General features: G+C 43.9%; 1 protein-coding gene and 1 long non-coding RNA gene across 9 annotated transcripts in view, besides 1 other annotated feature; both read right to left on the bottom strand.

The window, feature by feature from the left end:
* The window catches only part of TBXAS1 (thromboxane A synthase 1), a 242,052-nt gene that overhangs the window by 66,174 nt on the left and 156,670 nt on the right, over window positions 1-19,208 (bottom strand). For 7 of the 8 annotated variants that reach the window (NM_001130966.5, NM_001166254.4, NM_001314028.4 and 4 more), the window contains 2 exons: window positions 17,813-17,929; window positions 664-752 (listed from right to left, as the gene is read on the bottom strand). In NM_001130966.5, coding sequence (NP_001124438.2) covers window positions 664-752; window positions 17,813-17,929 — 206 coding nt within the window. Of the gene's footprint in view, window positions 1-663; window positions 753-1,431; window positions 1,570-17,812; window positions 17,930-19,208 lie in introns of all 8 variants that reach the window. The other variant, NM_001166253.4, reaches the window with a different exon arrangement.
* Window positions 6,973-17,807, bottom strand: LOC105375532 (uncharacterized). The gene is made up of 2 exons (XR_928043.3): window positions 9,817-17,807; window positions 6,973-9,035 (listed from the first exon to the last, which is right to left on the bottom strand). It is a non-coding gene; the product is annotated as an uncharacterized LOC105375532 (long non-coding RNA).
* Window positions 15,464-15,964: an enhancer, noted in NCBI's record as "H3K4me1 hESC enhancer chr7:139637955-139638455 (GRCh37/hg19 assembly coordinates)". NCBI's record gives its function as "activates a minimal SCP1, AML or CMV promoter by ChIP-STARR-seq in naive H9 embryonic stem cells {active_cell/tissue: H9 hESC(naive)}" and the evidence as "EXISTENCE:reporter gene assay evidence [ECO:0000049][PMID:30033119]".

The raw sequence follows: 19,208 nt of genomic DNA, 5'->3' as shown, positions 1-19,208 counted from the left end.
CTAAATCTTTTGGCTTGCCTGGGCCACGTTGGAAGCAGGAGAATTGTCTTGGCCACACATAAAATACAGTAACACTAACGATAGCTGATGAGAAAAAAAAAAACTGCAAAAAAACTCACAATGTTTTAAGAAAGTTTATAAATTTGTGTTGGGCCACATTCAATGCCATCCTGGGCTGCTTGTGGCCAGCGGGCTGTGGGTCGGACAAACTTAGACTAAAGATGTTTTTTTAAAGCAAAAACCTTTTAGTTACAAAATGACGAAAAGCCAGATAATCAGTTATTTAAATTTGGTGTCCACCACTAAATTATAGCTTCTGGGCTGAGGTGCACCACAATTTTTCTTGAAGTGAAAATGCTTGAACTTTCCCCCCATCCCTGTCCTTAGGCGCAGGCCTGTCCTGCCCATTCCTGGGTCTGTGGAGGTCAGAGGGTGGATCCATCCACAGGTTCGACAGGACGCACGTACCCTGGCTCTGCTCACATCTCTTTCCCATGTTAAGTGGGTTTCTTTTCTTTTTATTAATCAGTCCATCCATGCTTTTATGAGCTTCTAGCGTTTCCACAGTTTGCTAGTCCCAAGGTAATTGTCAGCAATTATGGACAGTTACAAGAAGCAGTGATTCAAAAACTCGATTTCTCATCTGTAATGCAGCAGCCTTACCTCTGGATGTCAAATGCGTCCCCAGATTCCGCATAGCGTTTTAAATGAGCCAGGAGAAGGTCGCAGGCTTGGCTGATGAGGGGAACCATCTGATAATGGATAACAAAGGTGTAATTAGGGCACCATGCCGGGAGTACACCTAAATTGGCTGCAGATGAAGAGGTTATATGTAGTGCTTTCTGGGAAAATGAACACTGTTTGGAAGATATTTTTCACACAGCTAAGATTCAAGAAGAAGATCCTAAAATTCACAAATATTCATAAAATACAATAGCTCTAAACGTCTATTTTAGCTTAAGCATTTTTTATCTTTGGAAGCAAAAAAGAAGAACAGATTTACAGTGAATACGGTGAAATAATTATGAAAATGATCATTAAGTGCTTAGACAAAACTGAGAATCAGTACTCAGTTTCATGACATTTGGTTAGCATTAGCAAGTAAATAAAGCCTAATCCATATGCACAATCCCTGGAATTAACCCAAGTCTATGCTTGTGTATTCCGATTGTATTTTAGATCTTTCACTAGAATATTGAATCTTAGTATCCAAAGGAACCTAAGGTCATCCATTTCAACTTCTTATTTAACACAGAAATTATTTATAGAGCATTCCTGATGGATGGTTATTCTTTTGTGCTTAAGCCGCTAAGCTTTCGAATACTGGGAAAACCTTGACTTCAAGATGCCTCCTATGCCCACATGGGGCAATTGTTGGGTTTCTTTTTTTTAATAGGAAAATACTTTTATGTTAGAAAATTCCTAACTTACACAGAAAGGTAGAGTGGCATAATGGAGATTCACATAGATACCACTCGGCTTCGACAAACGGGTGGGTGGAATTCTTTGTGGAGCCTGCTGGCCACCCATGTGACCTTTTATTCTCTCTTGCATGATTAAAAGGCCAAGCTGAAAATATCGAGCAGAATCATTTTATTCGCTGCCCATTCTAGAATAGCATCACAGCTAAAGCAACGTGCTCTAATACATCATTCTGAGCATTTCTCATGAAAGACATAAAATGTAACCTATGTTTAGATTTGATGATTTTCACACTAGAATATTGAGTTCTCGAGGTCAGAGAGATCTTAGTCTGTTTCTTCATTTTTATAAACCCAGCACCTAGAACAGCGCCTGGCTCATAGTAATTATTTGTTAAGTGAATGAACGAATCATGGCATCGTACTGATTATGTAATACCCACTCTTTCCTCTTAAAGTCTTGAGGCACTGGGAAAAGTTATAAAGTTAATCTGCTTCTCAGAAGGTATGTTGTTGTACTGAGGCAAAATCTGACTTCGTCTAACAATCTTTTGCTGGTTTCATTTCTGTTCTCTTCTTCATGACAGTGCACCCGACACTCAGACAGCAAGTACCTATCTGCTCCCCATCTTCTCCTAGACAACTGTTCCCATCCTTCCTTCCTTCCCTCCTTCCTTCCTTTCTTTTTCTTTCTTTCTTTCTTTCTTTCTTTCTTTCTTTCTTTCTTTCTTTCTTTCTTTCTTTCTTTTCTTTCTTTCCTTCTTTCTCTCTTTCTTTCTCTCTTTCTTTCTCTTTCTTTCCTTCCTTCCTTCCTTCTTTCCTTCCTTCCTTCCTTCTTTCCTTCCTTCCTTCCTTCTTTCTTTCTTTCCTCTTTCTTTCCTTCTTCTTTGTTTCTTTTTCTTTCTTTCTTTCTTTTTTTTTTTTTTTAGACAGAGTCTTGCTTTGTTGCCCAGGCTGGAGTGCAGTGGTGTGATCTCGGCTCACTGCAACCTCTGCCTCCCAGGTTCAAGTGATTCTCCTGCTTCAGCCTCCCAAGTAGCTGGGATTACAGGTGTGTGCCACCATGCCTGGCTAATTTTTTTTTTTTTTTTTTTTTTTTTTTTTTAGTAGAGACGGGATTCCACCATGTTGATCAGGCTGATCTAGAACTCCTGACCTCGTGATCCACCCACTTTGGCCTCCCAAAGTGCTGGGATTACAGGCGTGAACTACTGTGCCTGGCTGCCCCCATCCTTTCAATGGGGGACTGAACCATATGGCTTGCATACACCCCTCCTGCCTTATTGCTCTCATCTTTATCAGGGTCACTCCTAAAGGTGGCCTCATAAGTGGAATACAGTATTTCAGGTGTGGATTGGTGTATGGTAAATGAATCACTTCCTGAGATCTGTACCCTACACGTCAATCGCAAAGCCAGTTTTATGTTGACTTTTCTAGAAGACAAACAGTGCAGGCAAATATTGAGGTTCAGGTTAATGAAAACCACGAGGTCTTTTTCCATGGATGATAACCAGGTACAATTGCTATTTCGATTTTTTTAGGGACCATTCATTAGAAAGGCACTAGTTGTCCTGCCGTGTGTTCTGAGCAGAACGATCTCTTATCTTCTCTGGAATATTCAGTTGGTTGGAGACACCTGGTAGAGTGGGACAGCTGGCCGGCTATTGACAGGATGTTGGGAGGACATGAAATTTTATAGGACCCCTCTCCTCTGCAGTTTCCTCCGAGTCAGTCCTACGTGCTCTGGGTGTAAGGAAAGAATTGTGTTACCAGGGGCCCAACTCCTCTGCTGAAGGAGTGGGTCCTGTAGATGGAGGGCGAGGGGGTCCCGTAGATGGAGGGCGAGGGGGTCCCGTAGATGGAGGGCGAGGGGGTCCCGTAGATGGAAGGCGAGGGGGTCCCGTAGATGGAGGGCGAGGGGGTCCCGTAGATGGAGGGCGAGGGGGTCCCGTAGATGGAGGGCGAGGGGGTCCCGTAGATGGAGGGCGAGGGGGTCCCGTAGATGGAGGGCGAGGGGGTCCCGTAGATGGAGGGTGAGGGAGTCCTGTAGATCAAAGCTGCAATGGCTCCATGAAGGCTGCCACGTGGAGGTGGTAACCAAGGCAGGGACAATGGCCTGGACAGCGCTATGGACGGCTGAACAACAGCTCAAGGAGCAGAATGTTCACAGCATAACACACCCAAGTGGAGAGATAGCAGAGCATCTGAGACTCATGAGTGCCCTGTTGCCAAGGCTCATGGAGGGAGAGCCATCTTGGGAAAATAGATTTGCTGTTCATAAAGCCACAGGGCTTAGAGCACTGGGGTGTTTGAACACTGTGGGGGAGCAAAAGATGTACTCACTCATTAAAATCCCATTACCTGGCCAGGCGTGGTGGCTCAGGTCTATAATCCCAGCACTTTCGGAGGCCAAGGCAGGCGGATCACTTGAAGTCAGGAGTTCAAAACCAGCCTGGCGGGCCAGCAGAGTGAACCCCCTCTCTACTAAAAATATAAAAATTAGCTGGGCGTGGTGGCAGGCACCTGTAATCCCAGCTACTCGGAGGCTGAGGCAGGAGAATCGCTTGAACCTGGGAGGTGGAGGTTGCAGTGAGCCAAGAATGCATCACTGGAATGACAGAGAGAGACTCCGTCTCAAAAAAAAAAAAAAAAAAAAAAAAATCCCATCACCTGCAACACTGGGCTATTCTTTCTTCGTTCTATCTGCAATGTAGTAAGTGTGCCTTCTAAGCCTCCCTTCAGTTCATTGGTCTGTAGGCAGGCCCTGGTGCAGAGCCTTGTGCCCCTCCACTGGACAGCTGGTTTAGGTAGCCGCAGAATCATTCATCATCACTGTTTTTGGATCTTGGGCTATCTGTGCATGAACCTAAGTAAATACTCAGCCAGGCACCGCTTTACTGATGAGTCAGCTGGGGAAGACTTTGTCAAATGATTTGTAGAAACAGAAATGTGATTTACCTCATCTACCTATCTGGAAGTCCACTCAAAAAAGAAAAATAAGTATGACTATCCTGATTTATTCTTAGTATCTCTGTGTTGATGCTTCATGACTACTGTATGCTTTTCTAAATTCTCACAAACCATCGATTTAATAATCCATCAGTACAAAAGGGTGTGCCAATGGGTCACTTAAAATGGTCTCTAGGCCCCAACTTCCAAGAAGTCTCAGTCTACCCTTAACATTGGAAAAGTCAGTACAGTCTAAGCCACATTTTTATAACTAGCTTTACTGGCTATCTTCCTTCGATTATCTTAATAAGTTTAGTGGTACAACTGAATCCTAGTTTAATAAAATCCCATAAACCTAAATACCTTTTAAATTTACTTCAGAGGAATAGTAACATGGTAAAAGAAAATCTGTCTATCTATCTACATATATATATGTACTGTTTGAAAGGAAGTCTTTTTAGATATCTAGCTTGAAGCTTTCTTAACATAACAAAAGAGATGGAACATAAAATGTGATTTACACACAACTCTTCAGAGGCATGCCCTGTGTATAAAGAGGGGGCCACCCATTCTGAATCCAAACATATTCCTGGACAGTGTGAAAGAAAGCCCAGGCCAGCTGCCCACCATCGGGTCTTCTACGTGCTTTTGACTAGAATCCTTTGTTGCTGCCTGACGTGATTGTAATTTTCTGCGATACTCTGCTTGCTGTCTGTCGAACTGAATGGATAATGACATTTTTATTTGGGTTAATGTGATATGAGATGGGGCATGTAATATGAAAAATGTTTTAAAAAGCAATGCAGAGAAAATATTATAAGACAGCCGAGCATAATCTGTATGTTGGCCAATAGCCATCATTTCAGGTTTTCTTCCTTGCATTTTACACAGCAGTTACGGAATATTTACTTTTACATGAGTTGCATACAAACAAAAGCTGTCTTTGATGGGCTTGCATAATCTTTATACAATCCACAAACCCCGCAGTTCTTCTCCTAGATTTTTGAACAAGCAGGCAAACGTGGCATGTGCACACACACACACATGCACAGATGAATACACAATGCTATTCTCACTCAGATCTTACTAAAAGATGCATTCGGTTGTTACATTTCATCTTCTTCATGGGATAATGAGTAATTTTTATTTTTTGTTTTATTCCAAATTTTTCACAATGCACATGTATTACACTTATAATCAGATAAAATATTAATGTTATTAGGTTTAAAAAAAGTGATTTATTGGGAGTTCTTATAGACTGAATGTTTGGGTTGCCTCAAAATTCATACATTGAAGCCCCAACTCCCAGTGTAGCTGTATTTGGAGATAGGGCTTCTAAGGAAGTAATTAAGGTTAAAGTCACAAGGATGGGGCCCTGATCCAATAGGATTGGTGTCCTTATAAGAAGAGACACCAGAGCACTCATGCTTATTCTCTCTCCCTCTCTCTCTCTCTCATGCACAAAGAACAGGTCTTGTGGGCACAGAGCAAGATGGCGGCTACCCACAAACCAGAAAGAGAGGCCTCCCTGGAAACCAACAACGCTGGCACCCAGCCTCCAAAACTGTGAGAAAATACATGTCTGGGCCTGGCACAGTGGCTCACTCCTGTAATCTCAGCACTTTGGGAGGCCAAGGCAGGTGGATCACTTGATGTCAGGAGTTCAAGACTAGCCTGGTCAACATGGTGAAACCCCCTCTCTACTAAAAATACAAAAATTAGCCAGGTGTGGTGGCCCGTGCCAGCAATCCCAGCTACTCGGGAGGCTGAGGCCAGAGAATCACTTGAACTTGGGAGGTGGAGGTTGCAGTGAGCCAAGATCACGCCACTGCACTCCAGCCTGGGTGACAGAGCAAGACTCCATCTCAAAAAAAAAAAAAAGTCTGTTGTTTAAGCCACACACTCAATGGTGTTTGGTTATGACAGCCCAAGCTAAGACCGGGGTTGCAGTGCAGTAGCCAAGCTAGGGGAGAAAGTTTCCCATTTTGTTCCTCTCGCCTCTCACATTGGTTGTCCCTACACAGGTGATGCCGAGTGTGAGGCTGAGCAGCTGTCTGGCAACCAGTGGTAACCATTCAGGGGAAATCACCATCCCCACCCTGGGAAGCAAATTCCCCAAGGAAGGAAGGTTCTGCATAACCTGGAGATTCTTATGTAATTAAAGTACCCAGTTTTTTAAAATTTTATTTTATTTTAAGTTTTGGGATACATGTGCAGGACATGCAGGTTTGTTACATAGGTAAATATATGCCATGGTGGTTTGCCGCACCTATCAACCCATCACCTAGGTATTAGGCATTAGCTATTTATCCTGATGCTCTTCCTCCCCCCTCCCCCAACAGGCCTCAGTGTGTGTTGTTCTCCTCCTTATGCGCATGTGTTCTCATTGTTCAGCTCCCACTTGTAAGTGAGAACATGTGGTGTTCGGTTTTCTGTTCCTGTGTTAGTTAGCTGAGGATAATGGCCTCCAGCTCCATCCATGTCCCTGCAAAGGACATAATCTAGTCCCTTTTTATGGCTGCATAGTATTCCATGCCATATATGTACCACATTTTCTTTATCCAGTCTGTCATTGATGGGCACCAGTTTTTTTTTTAATGGATTTTCTACCAACTGTGTCTGTGAAATTTTGAGTCAAGGTGCAGACAGAGGGCAACAGAGTGAATTCTAAAAGGAGGGAGGGCCTGATGAGTGGGCAAAGAGAGTAACGACCAAGAAGGGCTGAGAGCTTCTGCTCAAAGGTCTTCTTCTCCTCTCCTTTTGGGTGACTCACAGAATCTCATCACTGAGTTTCCTTCCTTGAGTGTAAGATTCCGACCTTGTTGGAGAATACTTGCCCCAAGCATAGCAAATACTCAAAGGCACTGCAAATTAGTAGGTTTCCTTCCCCTGGCACTTTATAGCTGTGTGATCTTGGGTACATTGCCTAACCTCACTGAGTCTAGTTCCTCATCTGCAAAAATGAAAATAATACCTCCCTTGAAGAGTCGTGACAAAGATTAGAAACAAAATATGCAAAACACTTGGCACAGAAAGCAGGGAGTGGTGTAAACATGGTAGTTGTCCTCTGGAGGGATCCGTCCTCCCAGGCTGGTTTGGACTACTGGAATCATTCTCTTCTCTTTTCTTGTTCCTCAGGGACAACTCCCCATTGGAGCCATCTGTTCTTGCCTCATCATGTTAACATTGCTTCCTTTCTTTCATCTGTTCTTTCATATTTATCTCCTCAGTCACCTCCTAGTTCAGGTGTTGCTACTTGTCACCTGGAATATGGTTGTCATCTTCCTTCTTGAGAAAAAAGACTATAGCCTAAGCATCTTTGTAGTCTTAGGACTTTGATAGTGCCTGACACCCAGGTGTACTAAAGAAAGTTCTTTGAAAGAGCTTCCTGGCCTCTTTTCTTTTCTTTTGAGACAGGATCTCATTCTGTCACCCAGGCTGGAGTGCAGTGGCATGATTACAGCTCACTGCATCCTTGCCCTCCTGGGCTCAAACCATCCTCCCATTTCAGCCCCTCAAGTATTAATATCTGGGACTACAGACACACACAACCACAGCTGGCTAATTTTTTTAATGTTTTGTAGAAACGGGGTCTCCCTATGTTGCCCAAGTTGGTCTTGAACTCCTGGGTTCAAACGATCCTCCCACCTTGGCCTCTTGAAGTTCTGGGATTACAGGCATGAGCCACCATGCCTGGCCAGATCTTCCAAAAATACTTGTTATTTCAGTAATGCTTTGCTGAAACATTTGTAGATCCCCACTGACTGAAGGACACAGTACAAGATTCTTATCTTCCAAAGTCCATTACGAATTGAATCCTGCTAATAACCGTGTGATGAGGCTTAGAAGCAGATCTTCCCCCAGTCAAGCCTTCAGATGAGACCACAGATCAGGCCAGCCATTTGACTACTACTCCAAGACACCTTGATCCCTCTGGCCTCAGCCCTCAGTCCCTCTGGACTCAGCCTTTGCACTCAGCTAAGCCATGCCAGGATTCCTGACCCACAGAAACAATGAGCTAACAAAAGTTTGTTTTAAGCCACTAAGTTTTGGGGTAATTTTGTTACACAGCAATAGATAACTAATACACTCTCAATATTGCTCTTTTGTGGTAACTATTGCATGTTGTCATGGATTAATGAAGTTTTTGGTATTTGTTATATCAAGAATGAGCATAGCACACCCCATTCTGTTGATTTTCTAGAAATACCTGTGTGATGACTGATTGATCAAATGTTCCTTGAGAGCCTTGACATAGAAGGTACCCAAGAAACATGAACAGATTGAGGCACTGTCTCTTAGCATGAATACAGTGTGGTTTGCTGAAAACTGGCTCTGAAGAAGAAAGCTGAGACTCATGCTGGTCCTATGTGTTACTTTGGACCTGGCATTTGAATCTCTCTGAACGTGGGTCCTCATCCCTAAATGAAGGGCTGATCGCAATGAGCTATAATGTCCCTTTCCACTGACATTTGAAGATTCCAAGGAGGTCACAAAGCATCAGGTTGAGACAGTTGCTTGAAGCCATGGAGAGAGCAGCCAAATTCTTAGCTCAGTGCAGGGAAGTGTCAGATCATTGGTCCATGTGCTTTCAGCAACACATCCCATTCCCAAGAAAGCCTTTTGTCATTTCTTTGACACATCAACTTCAGAATACATAGGGACCTAAAGGGCAGAATCTGGTTATTTTTGTGTTCAAATGAGAATTGGAACCCCAGATATCCTGACTCCTGGCTTGTTGCTTTCCCACAAAACTCAGCCTCCACATTTCCTTTGCTCCTTAGTTTATTCACTTCTAGGTCATTCTGTGCAGATCTTATGTCATAAACTTGAGAAAGAAAAAACCCACCATCTTTAAGCCTTTGGAGTTCCTGAAAGTTTGGACAATGCTGAGTGCTAGGGAAAACATATTTCCTACACAGAGAGAGGGAAGGAGAGGGTCTTTTTTACATAACCCTATCCATCTAAACAGAGATAAGCCCCAAACGTTGATGGTGTGTAGCTTGGGTGACTTGTTGATCCACACACGAAGAGGGACTCAAAAGAGCCACAGTGGACACCGCTGCCTTGATGTCATAACATGGCCCCTGGGAGCCTGCCCATACTTGGGGCTACTACAAAGAGGAGACTCCTCCAGACAATTCACAGTTCCCCTCATCTGCACCAGAAAGATTTGCCCCATGGGTCTGGGAAATGGCTGGCTTGGGGGCTAAACAGCTGAAATGAAACCCTTTTTCCTAACACAGAGTTCTGAGCAGGTCACTCCCTCACTTTCAAGTATTTAATAGCTCCTCGAGCTCTAGTGAAGTGTGCACCAAACACTCTCTCGGCACAGAACAGTGAACTGTACGTGCCTCAACCTACTTTTTCAGCTTTCTTTCTCACTAATCCCTTACATGTACTCTGTGTTCCAGCCAATTTGTACTCCCCTATTCCCTGAACATACCCTGTACTTTTCTGTCCAGATGCCTTGATTCCTGCAGCTCATTCCACCTGCAATGCACCTTCTCCCTCTGTCAAAACAGCAAAATCTTCAGAGCTCAATTCCGGTGCTACTCACTGCTTCCTCCCTGCCAAAGTGGCTTCTGATGCTCAAAGCAGGACCCCAGCTCTGTCACCACCTTCCACGATTGGTAATAATGCAGTGATTTATGTACCTTGTTTCTCTTCTACATTATAAACTCCTTAACAACAGGAACTAATTAATAAATATTTGTTGACCTTTATAAATTGAACATTTCATCTGATTTGGCCCTTGGTGGACCTGGGGGCAATATTTTGGGGCTGATGTCAGAGGAGGGTTTTCTGAATAAGTAAGGGTCAGCTGCTGGGGGTGGGGGAAGGTATTTAAACGTATTTCTGGGTTTTTTTTTAAAATGAAAAAATTAATGCCTTAAAGTGCTCTAAACTGGTGACCAACAAATGAAAAATTAATTTCCACTAATGAAACTTATCACTTCCTTCTTCCACTACACCATCGCTAAAAGCCACCCAGATATTAAAAACATCCACGACTCCTTTTTATGCAAAATTTCCTGCTGCTAAGTATCAGCTCTAGCCATCTAGGTGAATAATCAAGTGTCATTTCTAATAAGTCAGTGGCTCCTGTCAAGACTTGTGACCAATTAGAAGTCACCCCAATGAGGAGGTGGCTGCTGGCGTTGCCAAGCAACAGCCAAGCTGTGAGGCACATTTAGATGCTCTTTTAGATTTAACCAGCGGCAAGTCAGAGTGACATTATAATTCTGGCAAAGGAAAGCCAAATTATAACCCAGGCTGGGGTGCCCATGATGAGGAGTGTGTTTTCTTTTAAATGCAAATGCAAAAGGAACATTTAAACCAGAATTTAAACAGTCCATCATGATAGTGATTTTAATTAGTAGATCAGGTGTCGGTGGAACACGACTGTGTCTCAGGATAATGGTCTCTCGCTGCTAGATAAATACCCAGCTATTCCAGAAAATGGGCAACTGGTCAGGCAAGGCCAATGTATTTTTGGACTCTGAAGTATTGATGACTACAGCCACACTTGGTTATAATGACGTTCATTTTTATTGTTCAGGAGGATTAAGAAATAAAAGCAAATATTAAAAATAGACTGCTGGAAATGGATGCCTCCTAGAGAAGGCTGCTTGCTCTAATGTTATTGGGAAGCGTGTTCTGCCTTAGAAGCCCCCATATGTGACCATCTGGAGAGTTTACAGTGAAAATTTAAAGGCCAAACTAAACTGTGATGATGACTGTAATTCTGAAAAGACTTTTGCACTGAAATGCATTTACTCATAAGCGGGCTATATCAACTTAAATTTTTAAAAATTGTAGTCATTCTCGAGTAACATGTCGTCTCCAAGTCAGGAAATGCCTACAGGGAGTAATAACCACATCTGCCTCTGCCTTTAAGATTCATACATTATTGACTGTGCCTTCTTGACGGGGAACATCTGGATGAAAAGTGAAAAATTAGGCAGAGAGCCGGATCAGTGCTGTGCGAGATACCAGCCTCCCATTTTATCTGACTTTTCTTTAACTGAGTCCCTATGCATAGCAACATGATTGGTTCATTTACTCTTGAGTGACACATATATCCTTAGGCACTCATCTATGAAGATTCATTGTCTCCCATATCTGCTCAATGGGGTACCATCAGCTCTTAGTTATCTGGGTGAATGAAGAAAGCCCATCATTTATATTGGGCTTTGAGAATGGAGAACATACAAGCTGCCATATTGGATTGGATCCATGGTTAATGAGGTTTGAAGCTTAGTCTCTGCTAGAGGCACTCAAAAACTGGGTTCTTCATGGAAGCTACCTGCAAAGGATAATTGCTCAAGAGACTCATTTCTCTCAGTAGCCAACCAGGAAGTTAACAACCCACGTTCTCTCCTTTTGAAAACCTATTTGAGCCCAGAATAAACAAAGTTAAGCAGGTTTCTTTACTGCAGGCCTTTCTCAAGCCTTTCATATGCTCAGGTACATGGTGAATCTTGAAGAATATAGTTTGTAATATTTCACCAAATTATTTGACTATGGGGCCTTTTCGGTCCTCCATATTTCAAATCCTTTTCCCTGGTAGTAATTCATAGCTTGAAATTCATCATCATATAAGTACAGTTTAGATGCCTTTCTCCTAAATGTATTCTTTTATTCTTGCTTACACTGAAGGTTACCTGCCACTTTTGTGCTGACTTATGCAATCTTACAAGAGTCTCAGAAAGTTATTCCTATTGATTTAATATCTTTCAAATCAGAACAGCTTAGAGGAATATACAAATATATAGATTCCACTGTGTTCTCTCTCTTTCAGATGAGTTATAAAATTTAAAAATAAATCTAGTGCTAACCTGGGTCCCCAGGGGATCACATTATTTATACATTTTCCGTCAGAGAAGTACTAATTTAGCCCCAGTTTTATTTCCTGAAATTAAACCTATTTATTCCCTCATCCTTAATAAAGTTTTACACAATCCCAGGGTTACTACTCACTAATAGTCTTTGGTAAAGAATCTAGCAAAAGACTGTGAAAATCTAAATCTACAGTTGTGCTTTTTAAAACGTCAATTCTTCGGGGGATGGAGTGAAAACTCTGGCCAGTTAAGCAGACAAAATCTTCCCTAACAACAGCAACAACAACAAAAAGTCAGTTGTTTTTCCAGGAATGCTCAGCCATCCTTTTCTATAAATCCCAATAACTTGTTTGTCGCTGGCTATGATTCCAATAGTCTCTTTTTCCTGACTTGGAGATGCATGAATCACATTTTCCCTGGTTCTCTGTTGCTCTATATTATCCCTGGTATGACATAGGCCAAAAAAAAAAAACAATTTTAATTTAAATACAAATATGGCTTCATGATATGATGCTCATTTTAAAGCCATTTTCAAGCATTGTTGACTGAGGCAACCTAATATCCGCATAAACGAAGACAACGCCATCCAAAGCTTTTGAATATTGACCATACTTAAAGACACAGGTAGAGAGGGACTTAGGCTGCCAAGGTTCTAAAGGAGAAAGCCTCAGAATTCCAAGGGGAAACAAACTTTTATTTCAAGAATAAACTCTGATGTTTGATAACAAAAGTCCAAAGACTACTTACAAATTCAGAAAGGACTAGAGATGCTGGTATTTCAAAGCTATTTCCAGGAAAACTGACTCAGATACCCACAGCCGAGTATCTGTGGCTCAGAGTCTCTGAGCTATCTCCTAACACTGTGGCTCATTTCCCTCTTTGTGTCTGTGACTTTTTGTATGTGTATACGTATATGTGTATATATATTGGTGACTCTCTAAAGGAAAAGCCAGTTTGCTGTATCCTCTTATTTAATTTTTTCTTGATAGAATTATTTCCCTTTCATTTTTTTAGCTTAGTTTCATCATGTATCCTTAGGCAGAATAGGTAGAAAGCTTCTCGGTTCTTTGATTCTTCATACATCCATTCATTAATTGTTCCTGAATGTCTATTATGTACCTAGTGTGTGCAGTTAACCATAAAGAAAATAAGAAAAAAGCAAAAAGACTTTGTCCTCCTGAAGCATCCATCTAGCAGAAGGGGACATACAATAAACAGGTAAACAAAATGGAATGTTAGCTGGTGATAGTTCCACAGAGAAAAATAAAGCAGTGGAGGGTGGGGGTTCAGGGGCCAGGTCCTTCGAGCCTGGAGATGTAGTCGGTCTGAGGTGGTCAGAGAGGGGACCAACAGGAACACTCACTGTGCCGGGGCTTTCCACGCTGGCTCTCAGCAGAATCTTTCCAGGGAACTCGTGACATGCGAATTCTCAGTTACCCTTAGAAATTCTGACTATATAGATCTTGAGGTGGCTGAAATTATGTATTTTTAACAAGGGTCCTAGGTGATTCTCATGCAGCCCTTGGTCCCACAAGGTTTGAGAACCAGTGACTTAGAGAACAAAGGCAGCTGGGAGATTAAAGTTTGAGGAAGCATCCAGAAACCAGGAGGTTTTGGGGAGGAATATAGGACACTTCTCATTTTGTCCCCTCCACCCATCTTCCACAGCCCAGAAGCAGCCCCCCTGTCATTTCCTGCATCCTGTCTACACCATGGCTTAGAGCCTCAAACCCTCTGCTCTTCATATGCAAAGGGGAGCTGCTTTTGGAATTAGGAAAACTCTTTCCTCTCCTAATAAAGCTTGCTAACGTACAGTTCAAAATCAAGCAACTACTTCCTTGTTCTGGATGGCACCTACTGTCTTCCTCAGAGGCACCTTCAGGAGCACCCACTGGTGCCATTGATTCCGCGGGTGCGGGAAAATTACAGGGAACACGATCTATGGAGCATGAAACAGACATACATTGGTTTCACGTTTCAGAAATATTATCTTTGCTGTGCACTTTTTCGTCCTCGTGTTTCTTTCCATGTGAGCAGCATTTAACACCTCTGGCTGCTCCTTCCTCTTTGAAATGCTTTCCCCTTCCACATTCTGCTGGTTTCCATTTCAGGCTGTTCTTCCTGAGTCTTCTTTATAGGTTTCTCCTCCGCTCCTCCCTTAAATATGGTTCTCCCCAGAACCATATCTAACACATATGCTACACGTCTCTGTGTTTTGAAGACCATCTTTCTTCCCCCTCCCACCTGAGTGCCATCTGCACAGCCAACTTCTTCTTGAAGGGTCTCCTTAGGGGCCTTCCAGTAAACTTCAACTCGCCAGGTCTAAAATCCCCAGAGGTGGGGAAAAAGTTAACTTCTCCTGCCTCTGGGATGGAATCCTTTCAAACGCAAACCCAAGAACCTAAATTGAACTATATGGAGTAGAAAAAAATGCCTTTCAAGGGAATTTCAAGGTTATTGATAGTGTATGGTAAATAATGGGCTCTATGAAATCTCTCTCTACCTCTTGGCTTTTTTTTTTTTTTTTTTTTTTTTGAGATGGAGTCTGGAGTCTTACTCTGTCACCAAGGCTAGAGTGCAGTGGTATGATCTTGGCTTACTGCAACCTCTGCCTCCTGGATTCAAGCGATTCTCCTGCCTCAGGGTCCTGAGTAGCTGGGGTTACAGGTGCCTGCCACCACACTGGCTACTTTTTGTATTCTTAGTAGAGACAGGGTTTCACCATGTTGATCAAGCTGGTCTTGAACTCCTGACCTCAGGTGATCCACCCGCTTCGGCCTCCCAAAGTGCTGGGATTACAGGCGTGAGCCACCTTGCCTGGCTTCTCTTGGCATCTTAATGCCGTGGACATATTGAGGAACTCTATTTTCTGCAATTAATTCAGGCACTATGCATTTGATTTCTGGACTAGAGGGAGAAGACTGGACTCCAGGAGCACTGGATTTGCTTGGGAAACGACAATGTGTCACTTTCTGGAGTATCCCCTGTAAGGGGTTAAAGGAATCTAGACCATGATAAAATTCCTTATCAAAGAATCATAGCCCAGGACTGCTAAACCTTATTTTCCTTTCCTTGCTTCCTTTTCTTCTTTCTCTTTTCTTCTTTTCTCAGATACTCTTTACCAATTTCTTTTTCACACATGAGGTTCTTTCTACTTCTATAGTGCCATGAAGCCATTGCTTTTGAATACAGACATATACGCTAGTGATGCCAGCCCTAGGCTCACCTACCTCTCCTCTCTTCCCCCGGTCTTCTCTTGGCTGACTCAACCTTTTAGTGGCTGGATGTGATAAAGGGGCACACTCCAGGCAGCTAGTCTACATGGTTTAGAGCAGTGGTTTCTAGCTTTAAGATGCAGGCCCTTCCTTCACATTCTCCTGTGAATCCTCAATAGATAACAGAGATCAATGTGAGCAGGGCTAATTGTTGCAGTGGAAGCAGGTGCCCCTTTCCTCTCATGTCCTTGTGGGGAACTTCTACTGGTGGTGGTTCCCAATACTGGCTTTACGTGACAATCACCTGGGGAGCCTGAAAAAAATATCCTCAAACCCAGGCTGCATCCCAAAGCAAACCAAGCGAATGAGAATTTCTAGGTGTGGGACCCAGGCAGCAACAGTTTTCAAAGCCCCCCAAGTGATCCCGGTGGGCCCCACTGGCCAACCGCTGCATCTAAGTCACTCTCCATCTCCTGCTGTCTACACTGTATCAGACCCAGTCTTGGAGGAAGGAATTGAGCACATGTGGGCCGCGGGCCAGCCCCGATGGCATCTGCCACCCCCCTGCAATTGTCCCATTCTGGGTGAAGTATTAGCATAGCAAGCCCATGTGATCAGATGGGGACTCTATTTTTCAAACAGCTTTACCAGTAAGATAAGAGAAAATTTTATTTCCTTTGCCTAAAACCTCTTTCCATACCTCAGTTGGTTCCAAACTTAGGCAGAAAATAGAGAAGTTTTGCTTCTGACCCTCCCCCACCCCCCAGCTTTCCACCGAGGCCCCATTTGCTACACTTCCCCTTCCTGCATCCTCCAGACAGCCCCTGGCACAGTCCTACGTGGCCTCCGAGCACCACTGGAAAATCACATGGAGGTAGCAAGCAGTCAGGCAGAGAGGTGAAGAGCGCTCCGGAGCTGGATTCTGATTTTGGCTCTGCTGCTTACTAGCTATGAGACTTGGAGCACGCTACTTAATCTCTCCGTGCCTAGTTTCCTCCTCTGTAAAATGGGATGGTAATAATAAGGATGATGGTATTTATCTCGCAGGAATGTGGTGAAGAGGCAGTGTGTTAGTCTAAACAGGCAACCCTTGGTACCTGACTCTGAGCTGTGTGAGTGTGAGCAGGTGCTGCATACAGAGACAGGCTCTGCCCCCAAACACCAACAGCTACCCATGGAAATGCAAATCAAAACCTCATAAAAATGGGGGGATCACTAGCTTCTGAGTGAGTTTAATTGGATATAATGAGGTGTGGAACCCCCTCCTCTTCTGGGGGACTTCAGAAGATTTATAGGAATTCAATCAGGACCATATGGATGAGCATCTTGAGCTTAAGCTAAAAGTAGCTTTCATTTTTATTGAACTGAAGACAGGCTACTCTGGAACATCCAGACAGGGTGGATGGCAGAAGCCCAGGGCACTCAAGCCAAGCTTTGGAAGCTCCCTTGCTCTAGAGATGCCTGTGTACCTGAGACTGGAACTAAAGAAGCCCCTTAGCCCCTTCACATCATAAGGGCTCAAGTTCTCTCTCCCTTGTGGTTGCACAATTCAGAACAGCAAACACCAAAGCCAGACCAGCAATTGAGGGGGCTGTCAGGCTTAGATACAAAACACAGCAGTCAGGATCTGTTGTGTGAGAAATTGGTCTGGAGGCTGTACAAACACCCGGTTTTGGGTGCACAGCTGATAGGAAAGAGTGAGTCACTCAGTAGGGAAAGGAGAGTGTCCAGGGCCTTAGAGAGCTGGTAGCATCCTGTGGAGCCTGCCCTTCCCTTGAACTTGGCCTAGAGGTTAACCTGGGTGTCCCTGCCTGACATGATCGCCCACTCCTCCCCAGTCATTCACTGCAATCACCTCCCTATTTAAGACTTGATTGGTAGGTCACCTTTGTTTCATGCTGTTCTCTAGTTTCTTGCTATGTAAAGTGTGGTTCATTGTCCAGTAACAACGAAATTACCTGGCCGGGTGTTATAAATGCAGATTCTTAGGCCACCCTGGCCCTCTTGAATCAGAGCCTGCTTTGTAGCCAGATCCCTAGGTGATCCATTATGCATGACAGTCCAACAGACACTGTTGCAGTTGTCTCCTGGGGCCCCCAAAGCACCTCAAGCTCTGTCTCTGGACACAGGCGAATGCCCTGTGTACTTGTTGACTCACAGTTCATTTATGGCAAGTGGGGATATGGGAGGCTGGAGAGACGAAAGACGCTCAACACAGAGTCCCGTGCTTTCTGCATAACAGAGAGGTCTGAAGGTCCCAGTGGGAAAGGCATTTTGATGTGTCACCTGGGCAAGTGATGCAACATGAACTGGCTCTCATCACGATTTGGAGAGAAGAAACCTGCTCCGTAAGAGAAGAGAGTTTGCATTTCTCATGTCTTACCTCGTTCAGCTTTTCAGGACTGAAAGCAGACATCAGGGCACCTCTGACCTCTTCCCATCTTTTGTCACGTAAAAACAGAACGCTGTCGGCTACCGACTTGAACTCCAAACCCGACGCCTGTTGGGAAGTAACAAGCAGAGGGTCAGGACTCAGGGAGCCAAAGCCACCTTGGTGGCAATACAGGTCCATGACAAACACCCTGGTTAAAGTCCATCAGTGGCCAACAAGTTAGGAGGTTTCTCTTGCAAGGAGAGAGAGGAAGACTATAAAGGCTTACAGGCAGTGATAGAAAGAATCATGGCGGGGCCCAGAGGGAGCAGATGGGCAAGCTCTGGTGGCTCAGCTGTACCCTGCTGCGATGTGGTCATCATCATAGAGACAACTCAATGGCTTCTGTGTGTTCTGCAGTCCCCCTACTGAGCAGGGGTTCCCTGAAGACAAACAAGGAAGGCTTCCTGGAGATGGCCTAGTCTTTCCTGGGAATTAGTATCATGTCTGAAGTTCATGGCACAGGGTTTTGTGTGACTGGATTGGTTAGGTTGGACCCGAAGTTGACAGAAGACTCACTCGTCTGGACCCTTGTATGGGTGGAGGGAGAGGGAAGGGGGAAAAAGGAAAGGCCTTCAGAAGCGTGTGCTAGGAGAACTGCTTCCGGGAGCATGCCTGCCATAATGTTTCTGTGTTCTATTGGTCATTCATTTTTTTCTCAGTCAGCAAACAGTGGTTGATAGCCTAATACTGTGTTATGGGATGAATTCGGCCCCCCACCCCAAACTTCATATGTTTAAATCCTGACCCCAAGAACCTCGGAATGTGACTGTGCAGTCAGCCTTCTATATCTGGGCGTTCTGCATCTGTGGATTCAACCAATTCTGAATCAAAAATATTCAGAAAAAATTCCACCAAGTTCCAAAAAGCAAAACTTGAATTTGCTCTGTCCAGAGAACTACATTGAATCCATGTACATAAAGTGATGTGTAGGCATTGTATGAGGTATTATAAGTAATCCAGAGCTGATTTAAAGCATACAGAAGGATGTACATAGGTTATATGCAAATACTATGCCATTTTATGTCAGAAACTTAAGCATCCACAAATTTTGGTGTCCTGAGCAAGGGTGGGTCCCGGAACCTATCCCACGAGCTACTGAGGGATGGCTGTATTTGGAGATAAGGTCTTTGAAGAGGTAATTAAGGCTGAGAGTGGTGGCTCACGCCTATAATCCCAGCACGCTGGGAGGCCAAGGTGGGTGGATCACCTGAGGTCAGGAGTTCGAGACCAGCCTGGTCAACATGGCGAAATGCCCTCTCTACTAAAAATACAAAAATTAGCTAGGTGTGGTAGTGGGTGCCTGTAATCCCAGCTACTTGGGAGGCTGAGGCAGGGAGAATTGCTC

The sequence above is a fragment of the Homo sapiens genome, chromosome 7 (assembly GCF_000001405.40).
Source record: "Homo sapiens chromosome 7, GRCh38.p14 Primary Assembly".
NCBI classification, from domain to species: Eukaryota; Metazoa; Chordata; class Mammalia; order Primates; family Hominidae; genus Homo; species Homo sapiens.
The sequence above is the reverse complement of the archived record's forward strand: the minus strand, read 5'-3'. Positions and strand labels throughout refer to the sequence as shown.